General features: G+C 40.4%; 1 protein-coding gene and 1 long non-coding RNA gene across 5 annotated transcripts in view; one reads left to right on the top strand and one right to left on the bottom strand.

Annotated features, from left to right (window-relative positions):
- The window catches only part of GAB2 (GRB2 associated binding protein 2), a 202,528-nt gene that overhangs the window by 96,612 nt on the left and 80,449 nt on the right, over window positions 1-25,467 (top strand). Inside the window, exon 1 of one of the 4 annotated variants that reach the window (XM_047427935.1) lies at window positions 22,933-22,955. The exons of the other annotated variants lie outside the window; for them this stretch is intronic. The gene's annotated coding sequence lies outside the window, so the exon portion shown is untranslated. Of the gene's footprint in view, window positions 1-22,932; window positions 22,956-25,467 lie in introns of those variants that run through there. 4 annotated transcript variants of the gene reach the window in all.
- On the bottom strand, window positions 730-24,445 carry LOC105369402 (uncharacterized). Its single transcript, XR_950343.4, has 3 exons — window positions 24,124-24,445; window positions 6,304-6,400; window positions 730-2,385 (listed from the first exon to the last, which is right to left on the bottom strand). It is a non-coding gene; the product is annotated as an uncharacterized LOC105369402 (long non-coding RNA).

Raw genomic sequence — 25,467 nt, 5'->3', positions numbered from 1 at the left:
AAGTCCTTGGTACAGGGGTACTCATATCCACCCCCATGGCTTCAGTTACCTTTCCTATATGCTGATGACATCCAAATGTACATCTCCAACCCATGCATGAACTTTTCAGACCAAATCCTTGGCCTACAGCTCGGGAAACCTGCCTCAGTAGATGTCATAGTTGGCTCAAGCTAGAAACCTGTAAGTCATTCTTCACTCTGTTTCAACCCCCACATTCCAGCAGTGACTAAGAAATTGATCAGTTAAATATCTCTTTTGCATTACCTTCTCTCTCTCTCCATTGCCCACCACAGTTTAAGCCATAATTTCTTACTGGGACTATAATATCTCCCAGTTGAGACTGGGCACAGTGGCTCATGCCTGTAACCCCAGCACTTTGGGAGGCCATGGCAGGTGGATCACTTGAGCCCAGGAGTTTGAGATAGATCAGCCTGGGCAACATGACAAAACTCCATCTCTACCAAAAAAAAAAAAAAAAAAAAAGGCAAAAATTATCCAGGTGTGGTCATGCACACCTGTAATCATAGCTACTTGGGAGGCTGCAGTGAGCTGTCATAGCACCACTGCACTTCAGCCTGGGCAACAGAGTGAGACCTTGTCTCAAAAAAGAAAAAAATCTCCCAGTTAGTATACCTGATGCTAGGCTTGCTCTTCTCAAGCTTTTCACACAGCAGCCAGAGTGATCTTTCTAGAACATAAATCCAGCCATAGCACTCCTCTTTTCTGTTGTCCTTAGGATGATGTCCAAATTCCTTATCTTCTTCCCACATTGAACAAGGATAAGACCCTCTTCCTTGCTATTAATTCTCATGGTGCACCATATTTTCCTTGATCATAATATTGATCATGCTTTATCATAATTACCTGTTTCTTAGCTGGGCATGATGGTACATCCCTGTAGTCCCACCTACTGGGAGGCTGAGGCAAGAAGATTGCTTGAGCCAAAGAGCTCAAATCCTGCCTGGGAAACATAGTGAGACCCCTGTCTCTAGAAAAAAAGAAAATAAAATTGTTTTTCAAAATTATCTGTTTCTTCTCACCTGGGCGCAGTGGCTCATGCCTGTAATCCCCGCACTTTGAGAGGCCAAGCAGGGGCAGATCGAGGCCAGGAGTTCCAGACCAGCCTGGCCAACATGGCGAAACCCCATCTCCACAAAAATGCAAAAGTTAGCCAGTGTGGTGGTGTGTACCTGTAATCCCAGCTACTCAGGAGGCTGAGGCAGGAGAATTGCTTGAACCCAGGAGGCAGAGGTTGCAGTGAGCCGAGATCACACCGGTGCACTCCAGCACTCCACCCTGGGTGACAGAGCAAGACTCGGTCTCAAAAAAAAAAAAAAGTCTGTTTCTTTATATCTCTGCCAGATACTCAGCTCTGAGATCATGGACCATGTCTGTTTTGTTTACTGCTGTATCCTCAGCCCGTGGCACAGTGCCTGGTTTACAGTAGAATAATAAATGTGTAAGTTAATTTTTTATTTTAAGTGCACTTTAATAATTTTATATCTCATAAAAATGAAAAGGCCTCAAATGTGGCTCTCTGCTAAGTATGATTAGTCATATAGTAAATTATTTTTATAGCAGATCTTGTTTAGGTTGTGAACATGGGTGAGAAATTCCAGTTTCTGTCATTATGTCTGGTTCTATCAAGAGCCATAGAGATGAATGTTACCAAGCCTAAGGGTAAGTTAGAGAGGAAAACATGGGAGAAAACTGTAAAGAACAGAAACTCTACCACTTTTTTCCCCAACTAGTACTGCAATATATATCTTCATACATACATCTTTTTCTTTCCTTTGAATTATTACCTTAAAGTCAGATGCCAGAAATGAGAATTATTGGGCACAAAGGGATGAACATTTTTAAGGCATTTGAAATACTGCCAGATTATTTTCCAAACACATAATACTAACAAATAGTTCAGAGCAACATGCAAGGGTGTCTGTTTTATCACACTACAGGGAATTGTCATGAAAATCTTTTAGCTGGTTTAATGGAGGAAAAAATGGAGGAAAAAAAATTCATTTTTAGTTAAGGTTTGGTGTTTTTCATCTGATTATTTATGCAGCTCCTTCTGAGGGTGCATCCAAACGCTCACAGCCTTGTTTCAGAGGCTGAGAGGCCTGCAACCTCAGCGGCCTCTGGGGCACAGCACCTCTGTTGTGCAGCAGCAGGGAGGGGCAGTGATGGAGGGAAAACATAACACAGACCACACCATTGTTAGGGGATGAGGTTGCTGGGATAATGCTGTGAGAAGGGATGAAAAGAACGATTCTCCATTCTTGATTGTTGTGATTTCCAGGGATGAGCCAACAGCTCCAGTGCGGGAAGGGATGGGTCTTTACTGCATCCAGATGCTCCTTTTTCCAGTGCTGCCTCCGATTATTTCTGGTGAGAAGGGGTGGTGGATAACATAGCAGCTGAAACAGATTAACTTTTATGCCAGTTTCCTCCCTTTAAGTGATTGCCCTGGACCTGGGGACATTCAGAATTCGTCAGAAACCGTTTAGAAATAAGAATGTGGTTCAAGGTCCCTGGTGTGCAAGAGCCAACCTTCTGGAGTTTGCGTACCATTCCTGCCTTTATCTGTGGGAGCTGCTTGAGGCAAAGGGATCTTTCTTTCCTCTCCTTCCCTACTGCCACTGCCGTTGTTCAGGCCCTTATCCTGTTTTGTCTGGGCTTCCTGTTTCCCTTAATCTATCCTCATCTATGCTGTTGCCAAAGTGATATTTCTACTATGCACACTGGATCCTATCCCTCTCCAGTTAAAACTGTCAGTGGTCCGCCACTGCCTTCAGGATGAAAGTCAAGCTCCTTTTCACAGCTTTTTTTTTTTTTTTTTGGCATTTAACAATCAGATCCCAAAATGTCTTTCCTGACTGGCTCCCACCGCTTCTCTGGACTGTTCCAGGACCCTGACTAGTGCATGCACTCTGTAAGGTGCTTGTGCTGGTCCCTCCTCCTGATAGCCCTTCTGCCTCTGTTCCACCAGATTCACTCCTGATCCCTCATCTCCCTCCTCAAAAAGAAGTCTCCCTCAATTATCAACTCTCTGATGGATTTTCCCTGGTAGGTAATCAGTTCTGTTCCTGTAACCCTCTAGTAGCAACTATATACAAGATTGTGATTTCTATTATTATTTTCCCCTAAATCAGGAATTATCTTCCTTTTGTATATTCATATTTGTGGATCCCCAGCCCTTAGTACAATATTTGACACATAATAAATGCTCCAGAATATCTTTTTCTTCCTTCCTGCCAGGTTGTTTGTAAGTTCTTTTACCTTCAATGTGTTCTTAGTTTTAGAGTTAAAAGGAAATGTAATGTAGTTTAATCTTCTTCTTCTTTTTCTTGTTTTTTAATGGTTGACAAAACCAAAGCCCAGAAAAGAAAAGAATTCACCCTGGGATGATCAGCCAGATATAATGGCAGGGCTGTTTAGGGCTGATCTCCTTAGGTAACTTAAAAAGAACCTTGAAACAAAAGATTGCATCAGGAGGAAAGGAAGGAGCAAAGATTCGTTGCCAAGTTCTTTGCTGAATGCTTAATATATGTTACTTTTTAAAAAAATTATTTCTTCTTTTGATTGTGATAAAATACACATAACATAAAGTTTACCATCATAATCATCTTTTTTTTTTTTTTTTTTTTTTTGAGACGGAGTCTCGCACTGTTGCCAGGCTGGAGTGCAGTGGCGCCATCTCAGCTCACTGCAACCTCCGCCTCCCAGGTTCAAGCGATTATCCCGATTCAGCCTCCCGAGTGGCTGGGACTACAGCTGCCCGCCACCACACCCAGCTAATTTTTGTATTTTTAGTAGAGATGGGGTATCACCATGTTGGCCAGAATGGTCTCAATCTCTTAACTTACGATCTGTCCACCTTGGCTCCCAAAGTGCTGGGATTACAGGCGTGAGCCACTGTGCCCGGCCCATCGTAATCACTTTTAAGTGTATAGTTCAGTGACATTAAATGCATTCATATTGCTGTGCAGCCATTACCACCATCCATCTCCAAAACTCCTTTCAGCTTCCCAAACTGAAACTATACCCATTAGACATTGATGCCCTATTCCTCCGGTGGCCTAATAACCACTGTTGTATTTTTTGTCTCTCTGAATCTGGCTACTCTAGGCTTGCCATGTAACTTTGTCATATAAGTGGAATCACATGGTATTTTCTAACTGCTTATTTCACTTAGCTTAATGCCCTTAAGGTTCATCCCTGCTGTAGCATGTGTCAGAATTTCCTTCCTTTTTAAGGCTGAATAGTATTCCATTGTATGCATGTACTGTGTTTTATATCTCCATTCATCCACCAGTGACATGTGGGTAGCTTCCACCTTTTGGCTCTTCTGACTAATGCTGCAATGAACATAGGTGTAAAAATATTCCGTTTGTGTTCCTGCTTTCAGTTTTTTGGGGTCTGTATCCAAAAGTAGAATTACTGGATCATATGGTAATTCTATTTTCAATTTTTTGAGGAATTGCCTTACTCTCTTCTATAGCAGCTGCACTATTTTATATCCCCACCAACATTGCACAAGGGTTCCAGTTTCTCCATATTCTCACCAACACTTATTTCTATTTTTTAAAGTAGCCATATTAATAGGTGCAAGGTAGTATTTCATTGTTTTGATTTGCATTTCCCCAATGATTAGTGACATGAGCATCTTTTCATGTGCTTCTTGGTCATTTTGTATCCCTTCTTTGGAGAGATGTCTATTCAAGTCCTTTGTCAATTTTTAGTTAAGTTGTTTGTTTTTGTTGTTATTGTAGTTCTTTATATATTCTAGTTATTAACCCCTTATAATCCTGTACTAGTCAGTGTTCTCCAGAGGGACAGAACTAATAATATGTATATATGAAAGGGAGTTTATACATATTTCATAATATGTATATTATGAAAGTAAAGAATTGGCTCACACAGTTATAATGCAAAGTCCCACAATAGGCCATCTGGAAGCTGGGGAAGAGAGAAGCCGGTAGTGGCTCAGTTTGGGTCTGAAAGCCTCAAAACCAGGGAAAACAACAGTGCAGCCTTTAAGTCAGTCCCAAAGGCAGGACACCCACCCCCTGGCCCCCCGTGCAAGTCCCAGTGTCAGGCCAAAGAACCTGAAGTCTGATGTCCAAGGGCAGGAGGAGCGGGAGGAAGCATCCAATATGGCAGGGGGAGGGGGAGTGGGGAGAAGGAAGCCAGAAGCCTCAGCAAGCAAGCTTATTCCACCTTCTTCCGCTTGCTTTCTTCTGGCCATGCTGACAGGCAGTAGGATGGTGCCCAACCATATTAAGGGTGACTCTTCCTTTCTCAGTACACTGACTCAAATGTCAACCTCCTCTGGCAGCACCTTCACAGATAAACCCAGAAACAGTACTTCGCCAGCCATCTAGGCATCCTTCAATCCAATCAAGTTGACACCTAATATTAACCATCACAAATCCTTTACCAGATATATGATTTGCAAATATTTTCTTCCATTCAGTGGATTGTCTTTTCACTTGGTTGATTGTGTCCTTTGATTCACTAAAGTTTTAATTTTGATGTCCAATTTATCTATTTTTTGTTTTGCTACCTATACCTTTGGTGTCACATCCAAGAAAACATTGTCAAATCCATTGTCATGAAACATTTTTTCTATGTTTTCTTCTGAGAGGTTTATCATTTTCATTCTTATATTTAGGTCTTTGGTCCATTTTGAGTTAATTTTTGTATATGGTATAAGGGTCCAGCTGTTTTTTTACATGTGGATATCCAGTTTTCCCAGCACCATTTGCTGAAAAGTTCTGTTATTTCTTTTGTATTTGTGTGATAGTCCTAGGATGTGTTATAATTACCTTATAGATGAGAAAACAGAAGGTGAAATATTCCTGAGGATCCCCTAAAAGCAGGCTTCTTGCTATCCTTGGCAGTTCAAAGACATTAAAAAGGGGGGAAAGCCATTTTGAAATAATGCGAGAAGAAGAGGGGAATAGACTGAGAGGAAAAGCAAAACAAAATAAAATAAGATTGGGATAGACAGCCAGCCGTGAGCAGAACTTTGAAGTGTGTTTATAATTCACTCAGAGACCTCCTCCCCCCTGCCCTTTTACTCTCCTTCCTTCTCTTACTCTCTCAATTAGCTCCTTCAGTTTGCTGTCTCTTCTGAAACTCTTTGAAAGCTTTTCTACAGTCTGTGTCCAGCCTGTTTTCTGAGCTTTATCTGCTGTCTCCCTCGCTGCCACTGTGAAGCTGTAATGGAGTCATGTTAGTTCTCACTGCTCCCATAGCAAGCCCTGCCTTTACAGACCACGTTCATTTTATTCACTTTACCTTTAATGTGCCATGGTCTTTCTCCAAGGCCTCTTGACGGTGGTGGCACCTCTTCACCTCTGCGTCCCAGTAGCATTGTGGCACAGAGGTGGCTGTTCTGTAAATGTGTCAAAAAGATGACTAAACCGACAGTTTTTGTTCCTTTGCATAACCATTCCACATATGCAATATAGTCTTACCTTCCGGGATTTAAAGTAAGCATGTGACCTGGTCTCTGTCCACCAGTGATTGTAATCTAGCTGGGAGAAAGCAAGGTACTTCTATATACACTTGACACTTTAATATTCTGTATAACATGTTATACTTGTAACCTTCAGTGAATGACAGGGAAGACTTGTTTTATCTCCATTATATTAAGATACTAAAGCACAGCAAAGTTGGAGTTTGGCTGAAATCACATAACTAGCAGAAGATCAAGGTGGGACTTAAACCTAGGGGACTGACTTCAGGCAAGATGCTTAACCACTTAAAGCTACTCAGTTTGTTCATCTACAAAATGAGGATAATAGCGTCTACTTCCTAAGTGGTTGTATTAAAAATTACACCATGTGAGTGAAGAATTTTGGCATGTCATATGGGACGCAGTGCAAGCTGCTATTGTCTGTCTGTCTATATGGTGTTTTTTGTCACTGTTATAACACTTTCAGTGTATTACTTTGGAAAAGAGGCTTGCAAGTACCATCACAACGGTTTCTCCCTGGACTTTTGGAAATATTAATGGCCACTCCTGTTTTACATGCGAGCCCTATGTCAAGCACCTCATGTGATGCCTGCCTGACTCAGGGCTCAGTGAATGGTTCCTTTACTTCCCCTCCTGGCCTTGTGCTTTTATGGGTGAATTGCACAGGACTTGACACTCCCACATCCAGAGGCTAACTAGCTGAATAACCCAGCTAGAACTAGAACTTAGAATTCTGCCATGTTTTTCAGACTGTGTCTTCTTTTCCATTACTCTTTCTGTAGTCTTTCATGTGCTCTCTTCACATTTTTTTGGTAGGTGGATTTAAGTTGGTAGGATCACTGAGGCATAGTAGAAGCTAATCTGTACTGATACCTTATTTTCAATTTGTAGAGGCCCCAGGGCACTTGTGTGATAAATGGTGCTATGTAAATTAAAATGCAAGTAAGGGTCTCTTCAGTGTTTCTTAAATTAAGTTTATTATATGTGGTAATTTGCACCTAGAGGCTTTTGTTGTTATTTGTTGTAGTGACTATGGCAGTAATGAGCCTGCTCCCAGAAAAGCTTGGCACATGCCCCATAGACAGTTTATTTGCATTTGGCTGGACTCCATGGTGTACCCTGAACAAATGAATCAGCCTATTGGAGGGGTGGAGAAACTGAATCATAGGGAGGCTGTGGGTCTTGCACATGATCCCTGGTGATCCTGAGGTGGGGCAATACCAGAGTTCTATGTCCTGTTCCTAGCTGGATTATTCCTTAGCCTCAGGATTTGGGAGCATCAAGCACCTTGCAGTTCACCCTTAAAAGCACAAAGCCAGGAGGGGAAGTAAAGGAACCATTCATTGAACCCTGAGTCAGGCATCATATGAGGTGCTTGACATGTAAAACAGGAGTGGCCATTAATATTCTCAACAGTCTAGGATTCGGATTCAGTCTTTGCTTTATTGTGGTAGGTAACGCTGTTTATCTGGCAGCTGCATTGATCCAAACCATGTGAAGAACTGAAAAAAAAAGTGCTGGGAAAAAAAAAGCTTTAGAGTGATCCCAAAGAATACACTAAGGCTTATACACATCAGATTCTCGTGACAACCTTATGAACAGAGCAAGTGACACCTTCTTCATGAATCTTAGCCCAAGGAACTTGCCTGAGATGTGGTGATCACACAATAAATAGCAGACCAAGGACTGATAGATCACCACCCAGAGATTCTCTAAGAATTAACATGAAACAGTATATCATGTTTTATATTACACACACACACAAACACATATTTTTTAGTTCCCGTTTCTGCCACCCTTGATGGGAGTTGAGGACACTAGATCTGAGAAGTTTCAGTACTTTTCTGAGACACGTGGGGCAGGTCTTGGTGAGCAAAAAGAGCCCAGAGGACAGAGTCATAAGTCCTTGCTTTGTCGATTTATAACTTTATATCTACAATTAAGTTACTTAACCACTTCACCCTCCCAGTTTCTTCATCTTTAAAATTGGATAATAGGCCAGGCGCAGTGGCTCACGCCTGTAATTCCAGCACTTTGGGAGGCTGAGGCAGTTGGATCGCCTGAGGTCAGGAGTTCATGACCAGTCTGGCCAACATGGTGAAACCCTGTCTCTACTAAAACTACAAAAAAAATTAGCGGGGCATGGTGGTGGGCACCTGTAATCCCAGCTACTCGGGAGGCTGAGGCAGGGGAATTGCTTGAAACAGCGAGGTGGAGGTTGCACTGAGCTGAGATCGTGCCACTGCACTCCAGCCTGGGCGACAGAGCGAGACTCCGTCTCAAAAAATAAATAAAATAAAATGGGATAATAATAGTAACAACTCACAGGATGTTGTAAGGATGGAATGAACTCTTATATGTAAAGTGCTTAGGAGAGTGCCTGGCCCAAAGTAACTGTATTTTGTTTTTGTTGTGGTGGTGGTGGTGGTGGTGGTGGTAAAGACCACACAGCTTGGAGAAACCCCAGAATCTCCCTCTTGTTTTCCTCTTACTTTCTTATTGAAGAACTGTAGGGAAATTACCTTTTTTTTTTTTTTTTAAACTCCACAGGTCATGCTGGCTCAGAGTTTACAGTAAACACCAGGAACATTCAGTTGGTTGTGCCCTCAGTTCAGGGCATCTTATGTAATGTGCTGCCCTGTGACACAGACCTAGAAAAAGGGCTGTTTTCAAGCCTAGACATGGGAGGAAGGTTGGTATTCTTCGTAATTTGCAGCAAGGCATGAAGCTGATGTCTATCACTACAGCCAGCCCTGGACGGCATTGTTTGTTAGGTAAAATTGTCGGTAGAACTCTGCTCTGCCTCTTACCTGTTTCTCTCACCCCATCTCAGGGCCTCAGGGCTCTGGCCTCTGTATGACCTGGTGGGATTGAGCTTCTGTAGGCACCTCTTCTTGCCCACAGCCTCATACCTAACTACCGCCTCGCTCCAAGTCCAGTTGTCTCAGGCTTTCTAGGTGTCTTGCTACTCTGGTAAACTAATTGTATCTTATGTATTTATGGAAAGAATTAATGAATAAACAAATGCATGGAGGCAATTTAAAAGCAATATAATAAGCAGTACCAACACCACTGCCTGGCCCACAGCCTGGCACGCAGAGGCTTTTGTTGTTATGTTATAGTGGCTCAGTGAAAACTTATTGAATAATTTATTACTTTTGGTGTAATGCATTTACTATCCTAACCGTATGTTTGAAGCCCAGTTCAAATGCTCTATCCTTTGTTGAACTGTTCTTATATCAAATAAAAATTCTTCCTTTTCTGTAATAGAACTTTATAGGAAAGTTTATATATATAATATTCTTTAGGGAAAGAAAAAAAAACAACCTTTATATTACCTTACTTGATTCTTGTAACAACCTGGTTAGGATTATCATCTTCATTTTATAATTGAAACTGAGGCTTAGGTATATGAAAGAGCTCATTTTTATGCAGCTCTTAAGTAATGAAGCTGACCCCAAAACTTACTTTCATGTATATAAAATGTACCTAATAAGTGTTCAGTAAATATGGGGGGAAGAAAAAACTTACTTTCATTTAGTAAATTATTTTTACCTCAGTACATTATATAGGCAGATGTATATTTTATGAAGTTGTGCCCATATTTTAGCTTCCCCACTAGAACAGAAGCCCTTTTGATCTGAGAACTGTCCCATCTTGTTGCCTCTGCTTCCCAGAGCTTCACACATAATAAATGTTTGAAAGTAAATTGCTAATTTTAACAGGGTTCTTCAGTGGCAGAATTTCATACAAAATCATTGTAGTGAAAGAAAAAACCTTTAGTAAGGAGACAAATCAAACTTTTTTCCCCTGTGTAGAGAGCTCCCTAATGGGTCTTCTTATTTTTTTAGAATGAACTGTAGGACATACCCACAAGGGTACTCTTTCTGATGGGTGATACGAGGCTCAGGGTTTGTGGCAATGAACTTTGCTCTTTCCCACACCTGAAGCTGCAGCTGTAACACACATCAGAGACTGAAGGACAGTGGCGCTGGAACACGACCAGGCCTGGGCTGCGGTTCGCCTTGGTGAACTGAGATTCATCACTATTAATATCTGAGTTTCCATTAATAACCCTTTTCACTGTGAGCTCATTTAAATCTTCTGTTCTCTAAGCTATTTTTAACCACACATTCTTGGGCCTGGGCCTGGTTCCCGCTTACAGATCATAACTTTCATTTTGATTTTTTTTTCTTTTTTTTTTTTTTTTTGAGACAGAGTCTTGCTCTGTCGCCCAGGCTGGAGTGCAAGTGGCACGATCTTGGCTCACTGCAAGCTCCGCCTCCCAGGTTCACGCCATTCTCCTGCCTCAGCCTCCCGAGTAGCTGGGACTACAGGCGCCCACCACCGTGCCCGGCTAATTTTTTTTTTTTTTTTTGTATTTTTAGTAGAGACGGGGTTTCACCGTGTTAGCCAGGATGGTCTTGATCTCCTGACCTCGTTATCCAACCGCCTTGGCCTCCCAAAGTGCTGGGATTACAGGCGTGAGCCACCGCACCCGGCTCATTTTGGTTTTTGTACTTGCAGAAATAATAGGAATTCTGCCCAACCCCTCACTCCCTCCACCCCCACATTTCTCAGAGGCGTGTATTGAAATTGTAGGTGGGACAATTCTTTGTTATGCGAGATTTTATCCTATGCATGGTTTGAGGTTAATATACCTGTCCTCTGCCCTCTAATGCCTGTAAGGCTTTCCAATCATTGTGACAACTTACCCCACCACTGCCACCACCACACACACAGGCGCGCGCGCACACACACACACACACACACACACACACACACACACACACACACATTTCTAACCCTCCCCAAAGTGAACCGTACTGGGACTGATTGAAAGCCATTATAACCAGACACCTCTCTCTGCCACCCTTGATCTCTCTCTGTTGACTTGAGTCCCTATCCAAGGTAGAACTAGGAAACAGGATGTTACTCTCTATATCCTGAGAAAAGCAGCTTTTCTGTTTCCCCAGAGCTCTCCACTTTGTGAAATAGAGAAGCAAATTAAGATCTTGGGGATTGAACTGCTGAGACCAGTTGAATATCATTGTTGCTCTGTCAAGACAGGTTTTTTAAAAAAATATTAGCCAGGCATGGTGGCATGTGCCTGTAGTCCCAGCTACTCAGGGGGCTGAGGTGGGAGGATCCCCTCAACCCTGGGGAGGTTGAGGTTGCAGTGAGCTGTGATCATGCCACTGTACTCCAGCCTGAGCGACAGACTGAGACCCTGTCTCAATTTAAAAAAAAAAAAAAAAAAGGCAGGGGGCAGGGTTTAACCACAAGATTTTATTCTCTTAAAATTACATGAAGGCTGGGGAGGGGGACAGGGACTGGGGAAAGGCTGTTAGTTAGTATGGAATTTCTTTTTGGGTGATGAAAATATTCTGGAATTAAATAGTGGTGATGGTTGTACAACCTTGCAAGTATACTAAAAGCTACTGAATTGTACACTGTAAAGGGTAGATTGTATTGCATGTGAATCATATCTCAATTTTTTTAATTGCTTGAGTCTGCTACTCTTAATATTTCCCTACCTGTCATCTGATCTCCCAAGCTTGAAACTTTTATCTGGCAGTTACTTTTGACTCTTCTCTCTCCCGCAGTTTTCATTTCTAGTGGGTCACTAAGACCTAACTCCTAAGTAATTCTCAAATACCTTTTTTTCTGTCCCCACTCCCAGTGACATTACTCAGGCTCTCCCTTGCCTGTACTGTCGTGACTAGCTGTTAATTTCTCTTCCTGTCTCTAGACTTCTCCTACCCTCAGCATCTTTCCAGGATGTTTCCAACTATGTCTTCAACTTTTTATTGTGAAATGGAATACACACACAAAAATTATATATAATATATACTGTACTATAAAGGAAACACCCATGTAATTACCACCCAGGTCAAAAAATTGCCAGCATCCCAGAAATCCCTGAATGTCTCTTTCCAGTCATATTCTTCTTATTCCACTCCATCCCTTCTTCCAAGTATCATGACTTCTGTGGTAGTCATGCCCATGCTTTTGTTTGCAGTTTTACCATAAGTATGTGTATTCTCAAGAAATATTGTTAGTTCTGTTTATTTTTGAACTTTTGAAATCACATTTTTATACTCGCTTCCTTCTCTCAACTTTGTGTTTGTAAAATTTACTCATGTTGTGTATATAGCTTGGTTGTGTTTTCTTAAAATCTTGATCTGATCCTGTTTCTTCCAATCACATAGATGCTAAGTTCAAACTCCTTGATAATGGCAGCATTCAAGGTCCTCCAGGATCCTGTCTTGTAACCTGCCTCTCCATCTTCATTTGCAGTGACCTCTCTCCCCACATCCTTTCCCATAATCACATCAAAGATGCCCTGTCTTTCTTTGAGTAGGGATCTTGCTCTGTCACCCAGCCTGGAGTGCAGTGTTGCAGTCACGGCTTACTGCACCCTCAGCCTCCCGTATGCCCTCTCTTTCTATGCGTCCTGTGCTTAAAATCTAGACTGTCTTTCTACTCTTTCAACCTAGTGTATTTTTGACTCCCTCCTCAAAGTAGAATAGACTCATTTTCATAATTATTTATACTCTCTCTCCCTGTTTTAACACTTATAATATGTCTTGTATTGTAAGTGTTATAGGCCCAAGCATCTGGAGTTCCGATGTCCGAAGGCCCAAGGATTTGGAGTTCCAATAATGTCCAAGGGCAGAGAAACATGGGTGTCTCAGCTTCAGAAAAGAAAATGTTTTCCCTCTGCCTTTTTGTTCTTCCAGGCTCTCAACAAATTGGATGGTGCTCACCCACACTGGGTGAGAATGGATCTTCCTTACTCAGTCCACTGATTAAAATGCCAGTCTCTCCCAGAAACACCCTCAAAGACACACCCAGAAATAATGCTTTACCAGCTATCTGGGTATCACTTAACCCAGTCAAGTTGGCACCTAAAATTAACCATTACACTGTTATATTCTCACTTCTTTTGTATTAAAAAATAACTCATACACTTTATTCCATTGAATATCATGAACTCCTATGTTTGCAGATTCAATTAGTTATAAACTTAAAATGTTACAACTTGGACATTGGGAGCCCCTTTAAATCGTATCTTTTGACTCAACATCTCTCTCTCTCTCTCTCTCTCTCTCTCTCTAACATTTTTTGTAGAGATGGGATCTCACCATCTTTCCCATGCTGGTCTCAAACTCCTGGGCTCAAGAGATCCTCCTATCTTGGCCTCCCAAAGTGCTGGGATTACAGGTGTGAGCCATCATGCCTGGCCAAGTCCTTAACATTTTTTTTTCTGTGATTTATTTTTTCCTTTATTTATTTTCCCCATCACAAATTTCATACACAATTCTGTGATATATTTTAAAGCAACCTTGCTTTTATTATTGAACAAAAATAATTTTCAGGCTTACCTTAAATTTTTTTTTAACTTCACAACATAGAATCAACCCCTTTCCAGAGAGTTTTGATTCCTTTGGTAGAGAATAATGCAAAGGACCCACTTCTAGGACTCTAGGTGCACATGAGGTTGTAGAGGTTGTAGTGTTCATAAGCACTGTTGCTGTCATGGGCTACTCTTAGTGACTGAGTTGGAAAGTTAATTTTTTCAAGGTTATGAGTTCACATAAGGGTGCTGTATCTAACTTTTCTTAGAATGCTTGGTTTTATTGACCATTAATACTGTCTCCTACATAAATATTAGGAAGTATTTTTAATTACTTGCTGTGATCAGTTCCATTGAATTATGCCCAAATACAGGCCTGGTGAGAGATACATGTTCAAAACAATTAGAAGATAAAAGTTGATATTTATACATAACACATTTTGTAAAACATATATACCTTACTTTATCTCTTTCTGTGACTATGTGAGATGGATGGAATGTGATCTATTTTACGAACAAGGAAACTAAGGCACACAGCAGAAGTTAAGTGACTCATTAGGGTCATGCAGCTAATAAGTAAAGGCTGGAATTTTAACCTGTATCTTCAGAATCTAAATCCTGTTTATTTTCCACTGTCTGTACATCCTTTCACTCTCTGCCTTCAAGACGCTTGCAAACACTTGTGTACCTGAAATAACATAAATAACATTCATGATGAAGCTTGTAGCTTTATAAACCAAGGATTGCTTCCAAATGAAATCTATACTTATAATCCTTTCAGAGAAAACTTATGATCTGAATGACTATATTGATAGCTTAAGAAAGTATATAGGGGCCGGGCGCAGTGCTCACCGCCTGTAATCCCAGCACTTTGGGAGGCCAAGGTGGGCAGATTGCCTGAGCTCAGGAGTTCACGACCAGCCTGGGCAACATGGTGAAATCCTGTCTCTACTAAGAATATAAAAAATTAGCCGGGCGTGGCGGCGTGTGCCTGTAGTCCCAGCTACTTGGGAGGCTGAGGCAGGAGAATTGCTTGAACCTGGGAGGCGGAGGTTGCAGTGAGCCAAGGGCGCACCACTGCACTCCAGCCTGGCTGACAGAGTGAGACTCCATCTCAAAAAAAATGAATAAATAAAAATAAAAAAGTATATAGGTTCTAGATTAGGTTGGGATGGATTTATATTAGTAAATCAGGTTATATTCTAGTTTATTGAAAGCTCATGTCCATTTGGGGTAAAGTTGAAGGTTCTAACAAAGATAAAGTATTAAATTTCTAGGTATAGGGCAGGCTTGGTAAATGGGTATAGATGTTTTAATATAGGGGTTTGCATTCTAGACGTTAAACTGCTGGGCTTGATTCTGTATTTTTGACTGCTACAGTGTAAAAAATATTTTTGCTCAGAGAAGGATTAAGGACAGAAATGGTTTGTTTCAGTCTTAGAATTTTATTTAGAATTTCACTAGGGTTGAGCATGGGCAATGCTTGCCTTTTCCTCTAGGAAGCCATAGCTCCTCAGTTGGAATCTGCAAACTTTTGCTCTGAGGTCTTGGGAGAAACTGAGACCTTGGGAATGCATCCCGGACTCCAGAGAGCCCTATTCCTCAGGGTCAGGATGTCTCAAGATGAAAAATTATCTAAAAACTATGTTTCAACTCTAATATTTATTTAGCTGCATTTTCCACTCAGGCACAGGCAAAGAAAAGTGCCAGAAATAAAAAGACCAGGGATTTTTCACTTCTTAAGATGAAAAGGTCCTGGTGCTTTATATCCAGAAGTGCTCATCACTTACCTCCACACAAAGAGGCAACTCTGAACCTGCTAAGTGGCCACACCAGATTATAAAGTTACAAAGAAGGCTGGCTGCAAGGCACCTGGAGCCTCCCTGTGCCACCTCCCCTCTGTGGAGCTCTCTCTTGCCCTGCCTAAACATTCAGGATTCATTCCTGTCTAAAGCCCTGATCTCCATTCTGTATTAGTTTTATACCTTAAAGTAAATCTAAATTGTGTAGAACACTGCTGGGCAATTTTTGCAGTTTCAGAGACAAGACTCATTTTAGAATAAAAGGCTTTGGGTCCTATCTATAAAAAAATAAAAAAAGACTAGAGTTTTTGTCCCAGCTCTGCCACAGACTTCCATGTATGAGTTTAGTAAGATATTACCATTTTCTCAACCACTGCTCCTTGATCTGTAAAATGATTATGATAATCCCTTTCTTTCCCTACTCATAAGGCAATTTTGAAAGTATGAAAAGGGATTTATATTCTGAGGTCTCATCAGTACTGAGTCCTCAGTTGGCATTCAGCTCAGCTCAGTTCCCGTGCTATCTCTAGAAGGGAAGGAGAGGCACTGTGCCTGTCCTCCCAGAGAGAGTAAGGAAGGCTTTTGGGCATTCAAGTGGAATCTTGAAGGATTAATAGGATTTTCACAGGGAATATCACATTAAAGCAGTTTGCTTTTCCTGGAATGTCAGATGTTTTGAGGCTGAGAAATAGGCATGGAGGGGAGGGAAGGTTGAAAATTTCAGGTAGCAGTTTGGAACCAAATGAAGGAAGGCCCTTGAATGCTATCCTGAGTAGTTTAGACTTGGCACTGTAGGACAGTGCTTTTCAAACTTTTTCATATTACATTATACAAAGAAAACAATACTTTAATGTCAGGCTGCAGGTAGCTATTGGCAAGGGGTAACTGGCCCAGGGACTACAGTTTCTCTGAGGGCTAAAGGAATTAAAAACTTTTAATAACTTGGCACTTCATCACTGGTTGAAAAGCACTGCTAGGCAATAAGGAGCCTGGTTAAGAAACTTCAGGAAAAATATTTCTTCTTTGTCTCTCCAGAGTCTAAGATTGTAATGTGACTTCTACTCTAGATTCTTGCCTTGGGAGCCTGGCCCTTGGCGAAATCGAGTACACCAAAAATGAGTCAGCCTATCACTACAGATCCTATACCATTAAAAGGTTAATAGGAGATTAGTAATTGCCAGGGGATGGAAGAAGGGGAAGATGGAGATTGACTAATGGGTATGGGATTGCTTTTTGGGGTGATGCAAATGTTCTGGAATTAGATAATGGTGATGTTTGCATAATCTTGTGAATATACAAAAAACCCTAAATTGTATACTTGAAAGGGGTGAATATTATGGAATATAAATTATATCTCATTAAAAAATAAAAGCATAATAGGAGAATGTTATGAACAACTTTACTTCAATAAATTTGATAAATGAAATTCTATAAAAGACACACATATCAAAACTGACACAAGAAGAAAGCAAAAAATCTGAAGAGCCCTATACCTGTTAAAATAATTTAATTATAATTTTAAATATATAATTTAAATATAATTCATGGGCCTCATTTGTCTGCCCTTCCCCCAACTTTGCCCTGATTTTCACTAAATCTTTGCTTAATTCAGTGCTTTGGATATAACTGAGATCAGTTCTTTCAAGGACATGAGAATGAGGTCCCTCAAGAGAATAACTTTTGTTTCTCCAACATGCAGAGGACTGGCAACAGCTCATCTGTTGCTTTGCCAACGGGAGAGGTAAGAAACCTCCAGGCCTGGATGGCTTCTTCAGTAAATTCAATCAAACAGTAAAGGAAACATAATCCCTAAATTGATCAATAGATTCAGTGAAACCCCAGTCAAAATCCCAGCACTTCTCTTTTTTGGGTAAAAATTGACAAACTGATTCTAAAATCCGTATGGAAATGCAAAGGACCAAGAATAACCAAAACAACTTTGAAAAAGAACAAAGTTGGAGAACTTACACTACCTGATTTCAAGACTTATTATAAAACTGCAGTAATTGAGACAGCATGATACTGACATATATGAAAAATGATATTATTTAAACATAGGAAGTCTAGAAATAGGCCTACATGTATTTGATCAATTGGTTTTTAACAAAAATGCAAAGGTAATTTGATAAGAAAAGGATATTTCTTTTCAACAAATGCTGCTAGAACAGCTGGATATCCATGTGTAAAAAAATTGAACCATGACCTTTTTCTCATACTCTATACAAACATGGGTCATAGACAAATATCAAAGCTAAAATTATAAAACATTTATAAGAAAAGCAAAAAATCTTTTTGACCTTGGGGTAGGCAAAGATTTCCTAGATAAGACACAAAAAAAAGCCTAAACCATTTTTTAAAAAATTTTGTATTTCCACAGGTTTTTGGGAACAGGTGGTATTTGGTTACATGAGTAAGTTCTTTAGTGGTGATTTGTGAGATTTTGGTGCACTCATCACCCGAGCAGTATACACTGAACCCAATTTGTGGTCTTCTGTCCATCACCCTCCTCTCACCCTTTCCCGAGTCCCCAAAATTCATTGCATCATTCTTTCTTTTGCTTTTGCATCCTCATAGCTTAGCTCCCATTTATGAATGAGAACATACAATGTTTGGTTTTCTATTCCTGAGTTAATTCACTTAGAATAATAGTCTCCATCCCATCCACGTTGCTGTGAATGCCATTAATTCATTCCTTTTTATGGTCGACTAGTATTCCATCATATATCTATCTGTATAGATACATATATATATCTCAGTTTCTTTATCCACTCATTGATAGGTATTTGGGATGGTTCCACATTTTTGCGATTGCAAATTGTGCTGCTATAAGCATGTGTGTGCAAGTATCTTTTTTGTATAATGGCTTCTTTTCCTTTGGGTAGATACCCAGTAGTGGGATTGCTGGATCAAATGGTAGTTCTACTTTTAGTTCTTCAAGGAATCTTCACACTGTTTTCCATAGTGGTTGTACTAGTTTACATTCCCACCAGCTGTGTGGAAGTTTTCCCTTTTCACTGCATCGATGCCAACATCTGTTTTGTTTTTTTTTTAATGGCCATTCTTGCAGGAGTAAGGTGGTATCGCTTTGTGGTTTTGATTTGCATTTGCCTGATCATTAGTGACGTTGAGCATTTTTTCATATGTCTGTTAGCCATTTGCATATCTTCTTTTGAGAATTGTCTGTTAGTGTCCTTAGCTCACTTTTTGATGAGATTGTTTTTTTCTTGCTAATTTGCTTGAGTTCATTGTAGATTGTGGATATTAGTCCTTTGTCAGATGTATAGACTGTGAAGATTTTCTCCCACTCTGGCCTGTTTACTCTGCTGACTGTTCCTTTTGCCATGCAAAAGCTCTTTAGTTTAATTAAGTCCCAGCTATTTATCTTTGTTTTTATTACCTGTGCTTTTGGGTTCATGGTCATGAAATCTTTTCCTAAGCCAATGTCTAGAAGGGTTTTTCTTCTGTTATCTTAATAGAATTTTTATAGTTTCAGGTCTTAGATTTAAGTCCTTGATCTATCTTGGGTTGATTTTTATATAAGGTGAGAGACGAGGATCCAGTTTCATTCTACTACATGTGGCTTGCCAGTTATCCCAGCACTGTTTGTTGAATAGGGTGTCCTTTTCCCATTTTGTTTTTGTTCGCTTTGTTGAAGATCAGTTGGCTTTAAATATTTGGGTTTATTTTTGGGTTCTCTATTGTGTTCCATTGGTCTATGTGCCTGTTTTTATACCAGTACCATGCTGTTTAATGACTATAGCCTTATAGTATAGTTTGAAATCAGGTAATGTGATGCCTCCAGATTTGTTCTTTGCTTAGCCTTGCTTTGGTTATGTGGCTAAATGACTCAAAAAAGCCTGAACCATTTTAAAAATTGATGTTGGACTCATCAAACTCAGAAACGTTTGTTCTTTAAAAGATACCACTAAAGACTGGGTACGGTGGCTCACGCCTGTAATCCCAACACTTTGAGAGGCCAAGGTGGGCAGATCACCTGAAGTCAGGAGTTCAAGACCAGCCTGGCCAACACAGTGAAACCACGTCTTAAAAAAGAAAAATACAAACATTAGCCAGGCTTGATGGTGGGTGCCTGTAATCCCAGCTGCTCAGGAGGCTGAAGTGGGAGAATCGCTTGAACTTGGGAGGCAGAGGTTGCAGTGAGCCCAGATCACGCCATTGCACTCCAGCCTGGGTGACAGTGCAAGACTCTGTCTCAAAAAAAAAACAAAAAACCACAAGATACCACTAAGAAAATGAATATGTATAATTATTATTTGTCAATTAAAAATAATAATTTAAATTCCAAAAAAGAAAAGGCAAGCCACAGACTGGGAGAAAATGTCCTCCCTTGCTCCCATTATGTGTGTGTATATGTGTCTGTGTCTGTCTGACAACTGCATCCAGAATATGTAAAGGACTTATAACTCAATAATACCCCCAAAATTAATTCTAAAATGGTGAAAGAATTGAACAGACCTATCACAAAAGAAGATAAATGACAACTAAACACATGGAAAGTTGCTTACCATCGTTAATCATCAGAGAAATGGAAATTAAAACCACAGCGAGGCTGGGTGCAGTGGCTTACACCTGTAATCCCAGCACTTTGGGAGGCCAAGGCAGGTGGATTACTTGAGGTCAGGAGTTGGAGACTAGCCTGGGCAACATGGTGAAACTCCATTTCTACTAAAAATACAAAAATTAGCTGGGCATGGTGGCAGGTACCTATAGTCCCAGCTACTTGGGAGGCTGAGGCTGGAGAATTGCTTGAACCTGGGAGACAGAGGTTGCAGTGAGCCGAGGTCATGCCACCGCATTCCAGCCTGGGCAACAGAGTGAGGCTCTGTCTCAAAAAAAAAAAAAAAAACAAAAAAAAACCAAAAAAAAAAACCACACAGTGAGATAACATTACCCATCCCCTACAGTCGCCATAATGACCAAGTCTTGTGAAGGAATTAGAATTCTCATACGTTGTTGATAGGACTGCAAAAACAGTACAACAATTTCAGAAAACAATGTGGTAGTTTTTTGTTTTTTTGTTTTTTTATAAAATTAAACGTAGACTTACTATGTGACCCATCCATTCCACTCCTAGGTATTTAACCAGGAGAAATGAAAACCTATGCTCACAAAAAAGACTTGTACAATAATGTTCATAGCTATTTTGTTCATAATGGCTCCAAGCTGGAAACAACCTTATTTATTATCCCTCAATAGGTGAATGGCTAAATAATGGTACCTCCATCATACACTACTCAGCAATTTTTTAAACTACTGATACATGCAGCAATATGAGTCAGTAATTACAACTTCATGTTGTGCATAAAAAGCCAGGCACAAAAGAATATATACTGCATGATTCCATTTTTTGTGATGTTCTAGAAAAGACAAATTTAATCTATAGTAACAGCAGATCAGTGTTTGCCTGGCACCAGGATAGGGAGTGAGGATTCACCTGGAAAGGGCACAGGGGAACTCTTTGGGGTCATGGAAATGTTGTGTCTTGATTGAAGTGGTGGTTAGATGGTAAATACATTTGTAAAATTCAGCCATCTGAACTGTTAAGATGGATGCATTTTACGTTATCTAAATTATATCTATGTAATGATGATTTCTGGCAACAAGGAAACAAAAGAAAAAAAAAGGATCAGCCCAGGGTCATTCTTTTAATTCTGTATACTGAATTCTTACAAATTAAACAAAAGCCTTTCCAATAGCTCCTAGAGAGGCTAAGGAAGTCTCTGTATGGGAATGTTTTCCAGCTACATATGCAATACTTCAAGCAGCTGGACTGATGTAAATTGGGGCTCCCAGGAGCAAGATAGTCCATTTACTTGATCACCTGAATTAATCTTTGGAATTTGGTTCTGTTTCTCATGTCATCCTTTGAATGATTTCCCTCCATTTTTGTAGAATACTGTGACCAGGGAAGAGAAGCCAAGTTCCTGAAGGGCCCCATTATTTGTTCATTCTGTACCTTGGAAGTAGCTTTTCATGATACTGTATTTGCTTATGACCAGCAAATTCCACTGTGTACTGGACTCCAGATGGCTAGTCCAGATGGGAAAAGCTCTCCAGAAAGCACCAGACTTTGTGCGCATGTTCATGTGTCTTCACAGTTTGGGCACCTTTGGGAGAGTCAGTCTAGCACAGTCCAGAAGCTCTGCCTGACATTTTCAATCCTCTGTCTTTTCCTGTGATCTTAAAATGTCAGAAATTGAAGTGATGGTGGGAACAATAATAAAGTCAACACTTGTACGTTATAGATGAGGAAATGGCCCAGAGCAGGAAAGTGTTTATTTTCCCCCATAAGTTCACATTTCAAAGACAGCTGGAATCACAACCTGAATATCTAAACTCCTGATACATTTATTCCTCTAGTGCAGGTCACTAAGTCAAGGCTACATCCTGTCAATCATCATTAACAATTTAGTGCATTGTTTCTCAAAATAGGGTCCTTGAATAGTCTGTAGTAGAGTCATTTGAGGTTTGTATCCCTGGACTGTACTCCAGACCTACTGATCTGAATCCCTGTTGAGACTGAGGCCTGGTATTCTCCATTGTGAACAGATGTCTTAGTGATTCTGATGCACATTGAAGTTTGAATACCACTGTTGAAGACAGTAGTGAGCTAATTTAAAGCAAAGAAGTAAAACAATCAGATGTATATTTACGAAAATATGGAACCAGGTCTTTGGAGGGCCTGCGGGACTGAGAGAGAAGCCTTTGTCCCAGAAGAAAGGAAACAATTTATATTCCTGGGCATCATTTGTCTACTCTTCCCCCAGCTTTGCCCTGGTTTTCCCTGGTAACCTTTGCTTAATTCAGTGCTTTAAATATAACTGAGATCAGACCATTCAAGGACATGAAAGCAAGGTCCCTCAGGGGAATGACCTTTCTTTCTCCAATATTTAAAGGGTTGGCAACAGCTCATTTGTTGCTTTGTCAATGGGAGAGGTAATTCCCCTAATGGATTTCGAGTCCTCTGTAGAAAGGTTGACCTGGTCTTTGGGGAATGAACCTCACAGAATTCAATCAGTGTAATTACTGATACAGGGCTTTTTGGTTTCCCAGATGTGACCCTGTCTCTCTCATACACATCAAATTCATCTTGTCCCTTTGTCTTTCATGTGGTAGAGGCAGAGAATGGATAGAATGCACCATAATAGACTTGTCAGAGAGATGTGACTGTGATTCTCTTCTCCATCATAATGAGTCATAATACAGCCCACCCACTTGCTCAAGCTGGAAATCTTGAAGTCTTTATTCTTCCTTCTCCGGTATCTCCCATATTCTGTCCATTATCAAGGTTAGTCATTTCAGCCTCTGAAATATATCTTGGTTGCATATGCCCTCTTCAATGTATATACCTTTTGCCACTGCCCTGGTCCATATCACCATTATTTCTTGAGCAGTAGTCTATCTGGGCTTCCTACTCATGCTCTTGCCCTACTTCAATGCAATTATTATAGGCCAGAATGATCTTTTAGAATTTTAAATATGGAAAAATTTAAAACCATTCACAGCTCTCATGTTCTGTTTACTTAAAAATATAGAATTATGTGGATTAAAATGTGAAAGTTCCCTGTATCTTTTCTCTTATATGCCCATTCCCCTCAACAAGGAGCCATTGGTAGCAATTTGAAATGCTTTTCTAAGCATTTGTAAAATGTGTGTATGTGTGTATGCTATATATACACTTTATGTGGTTGTATGTATGTTTGTGTACATAAACATGGTATATTTAATATAAATAATATGTGAATAATATAAATAGTATAATACATGGTTCTCAAGCTCATTTGCCAATATATTGATTTATTAATCATGCCCCTATTGAGGGATTTTATTTAAGATAAAATCTAAACTTCAATCTACCCCTGCCTTTTGCTTGTTCTACTTTCCCCTTTGTTTACTGTGTTCCAGCCATGACCTCCTGTCAGGTTCTCCCATAACCCAAGCTCGCTTCCTCTTCAGGGCCTTTACCTATGCTGTTCTCCCTGCCTGAGCTACTCCCCTGGGTGCACGACAGTAGTTCCCATATGATGGACTGCTGTGTCCTGGGTCCTTCAAAACACACACACTCCCTCACACCCAGTATTGCTTATGAACTGAATAAGTGTTTTCCATGAATTTGTACTTTTTTCCCCAAAAAATATGGATATTCTGATTAAAGGAATCATGAATTCATTGTAGTTTTTTCTTCATTAACAAATACTTAAAAATATGTTATTTTCTGGAGGAATTCTCAGATTTTTTAATTTTATAATATTTTAAAATATATTATTATAATATTTGACTTACCTTCAATAATTTTCTCTCCACAGTTTTCTCATCCTCCCGACATAAACGTCACCAAACTTACCTTTATCATTTGAGTACACCAAACTTTTTCATATACAGTGAATCCTCATATTCACACATTCTAGATTCTGTACTCACTGAAATTTACTTGTAACCCCAAAATCAATACTCACCATGTATGGACTGAATGTTTGTGTCCCTCCAAAACGTGTATGTTGAAATCTTATCCCTGATGTGTTGGTATTAGGAGGTGGGGCCTTTGGGAGGTGATTAGGTGGGCTGTGAGGGCAGAGCCCTCGTGAAGGGGATTTTTGCCCTTACAAAAGCAGCTTGAGGGCTTCCGTTGTCCCCTCCACCATCTGTTAGAAACAGGGCCCTCACCAGGCACCAAATCTGCTGGTGCCTTGATCCTGGACTTTCCAGCCTCCAGCACTGTGGACTGTAAATTTCATGTTTATAAATAACAGTCTGAGGTATTTTGTTTTACCAGCCTGAACAGACCAAACAGCATGCTTTGGCTGTTAATCTCAGACATTCACATGGACAGGGCAGTGAAAACATCTGAGTCTCCTGACGTGCACATTCCCAGCTGAGGTGGCACAAGGCAGTGTTTTGTGTACTTATTTCACCTCTCATCCTGTAAACAAGTGTCTTCTTTGTCATATATCGGGTACCATGTTTTTTGCATTTTTGTGCTTTTTGTTGGTGATTTCACTGTTTAAAAAGATCCCCAAGCATAGTGCTGAAGTTCTGTCTAGTGTTTCTAAACACAAGAAGGCTGTAATGTGCCTTACTGAGAAAATACATGTATTAGATAAGCTTTGTTCAGGCAGAGTTGAAGTGCTGTTAGCCATGAGTTCAGTCTTACTGAATCAACAAATATTAAATAAGGTGTCTTTAAACAGAAACACATATAAAACGAGGTTATGTATTGACCGATTGATAAAAATGTGACCAGAGGCTAAGAGGAACCTAATCTGGTATTTTTCCCCTAGAGCAGGGGTCCCCAGCCCCCTGGGCCGAGGACCCTTACCAGTCTGGCCTGTTAGGAACTGGGCCTCACAGCAGGAGGTGAGCAGCTGGTGAGTGAGCATTACTGTCTAAGCTCCACCTCCCATCAGATCAGCGGTGACATCAGATTCTCATAGAAGAGTAAACTCTATTGTGAACTGCACATGCAAGGGACCTAGGTTGCATACTCCTTATTAGAATCTAATGCCTGATGATCTGAAGTGGAACAGTTTCATCCCAAAACCGTCCCTACCCCTTTCCATGGAAAAATTATCTTCCACAAAACCAGCCGTTGGTGCCAAAAAGGTTGGGGATCGCTGCCCCAGAGGAATGATTCAATATTAACTAATACAGTGTTTGTGCTGACTTTACAGACCATAACTACCAGAAATAACAAGAGTCACCTATACTCATCTTACTCTCTTTTCCTGAAAGTTCTCCCTCCAGCAGTTTTTCTTCACCCAGCAAAACTCTTCACATCCTTCAATACCCAATCCAAGTGCCAC

The sequence above is a fragment of the Homo sapiens genome, chromosome 11 (genome assembly GCF_000001405.40).
Source record: "Homo sapiens chromosome 11, GRCh38.p14 Primary Assembly".
Lineage (NCBI taxonomy): Eukaryota > Metazoa > Chordata > Mammalia > Primates > Hominidae > Homo > Homo sapiens.
This window is presented reverse-complemented; position numbering and strand designations above follow the sequence as displayed.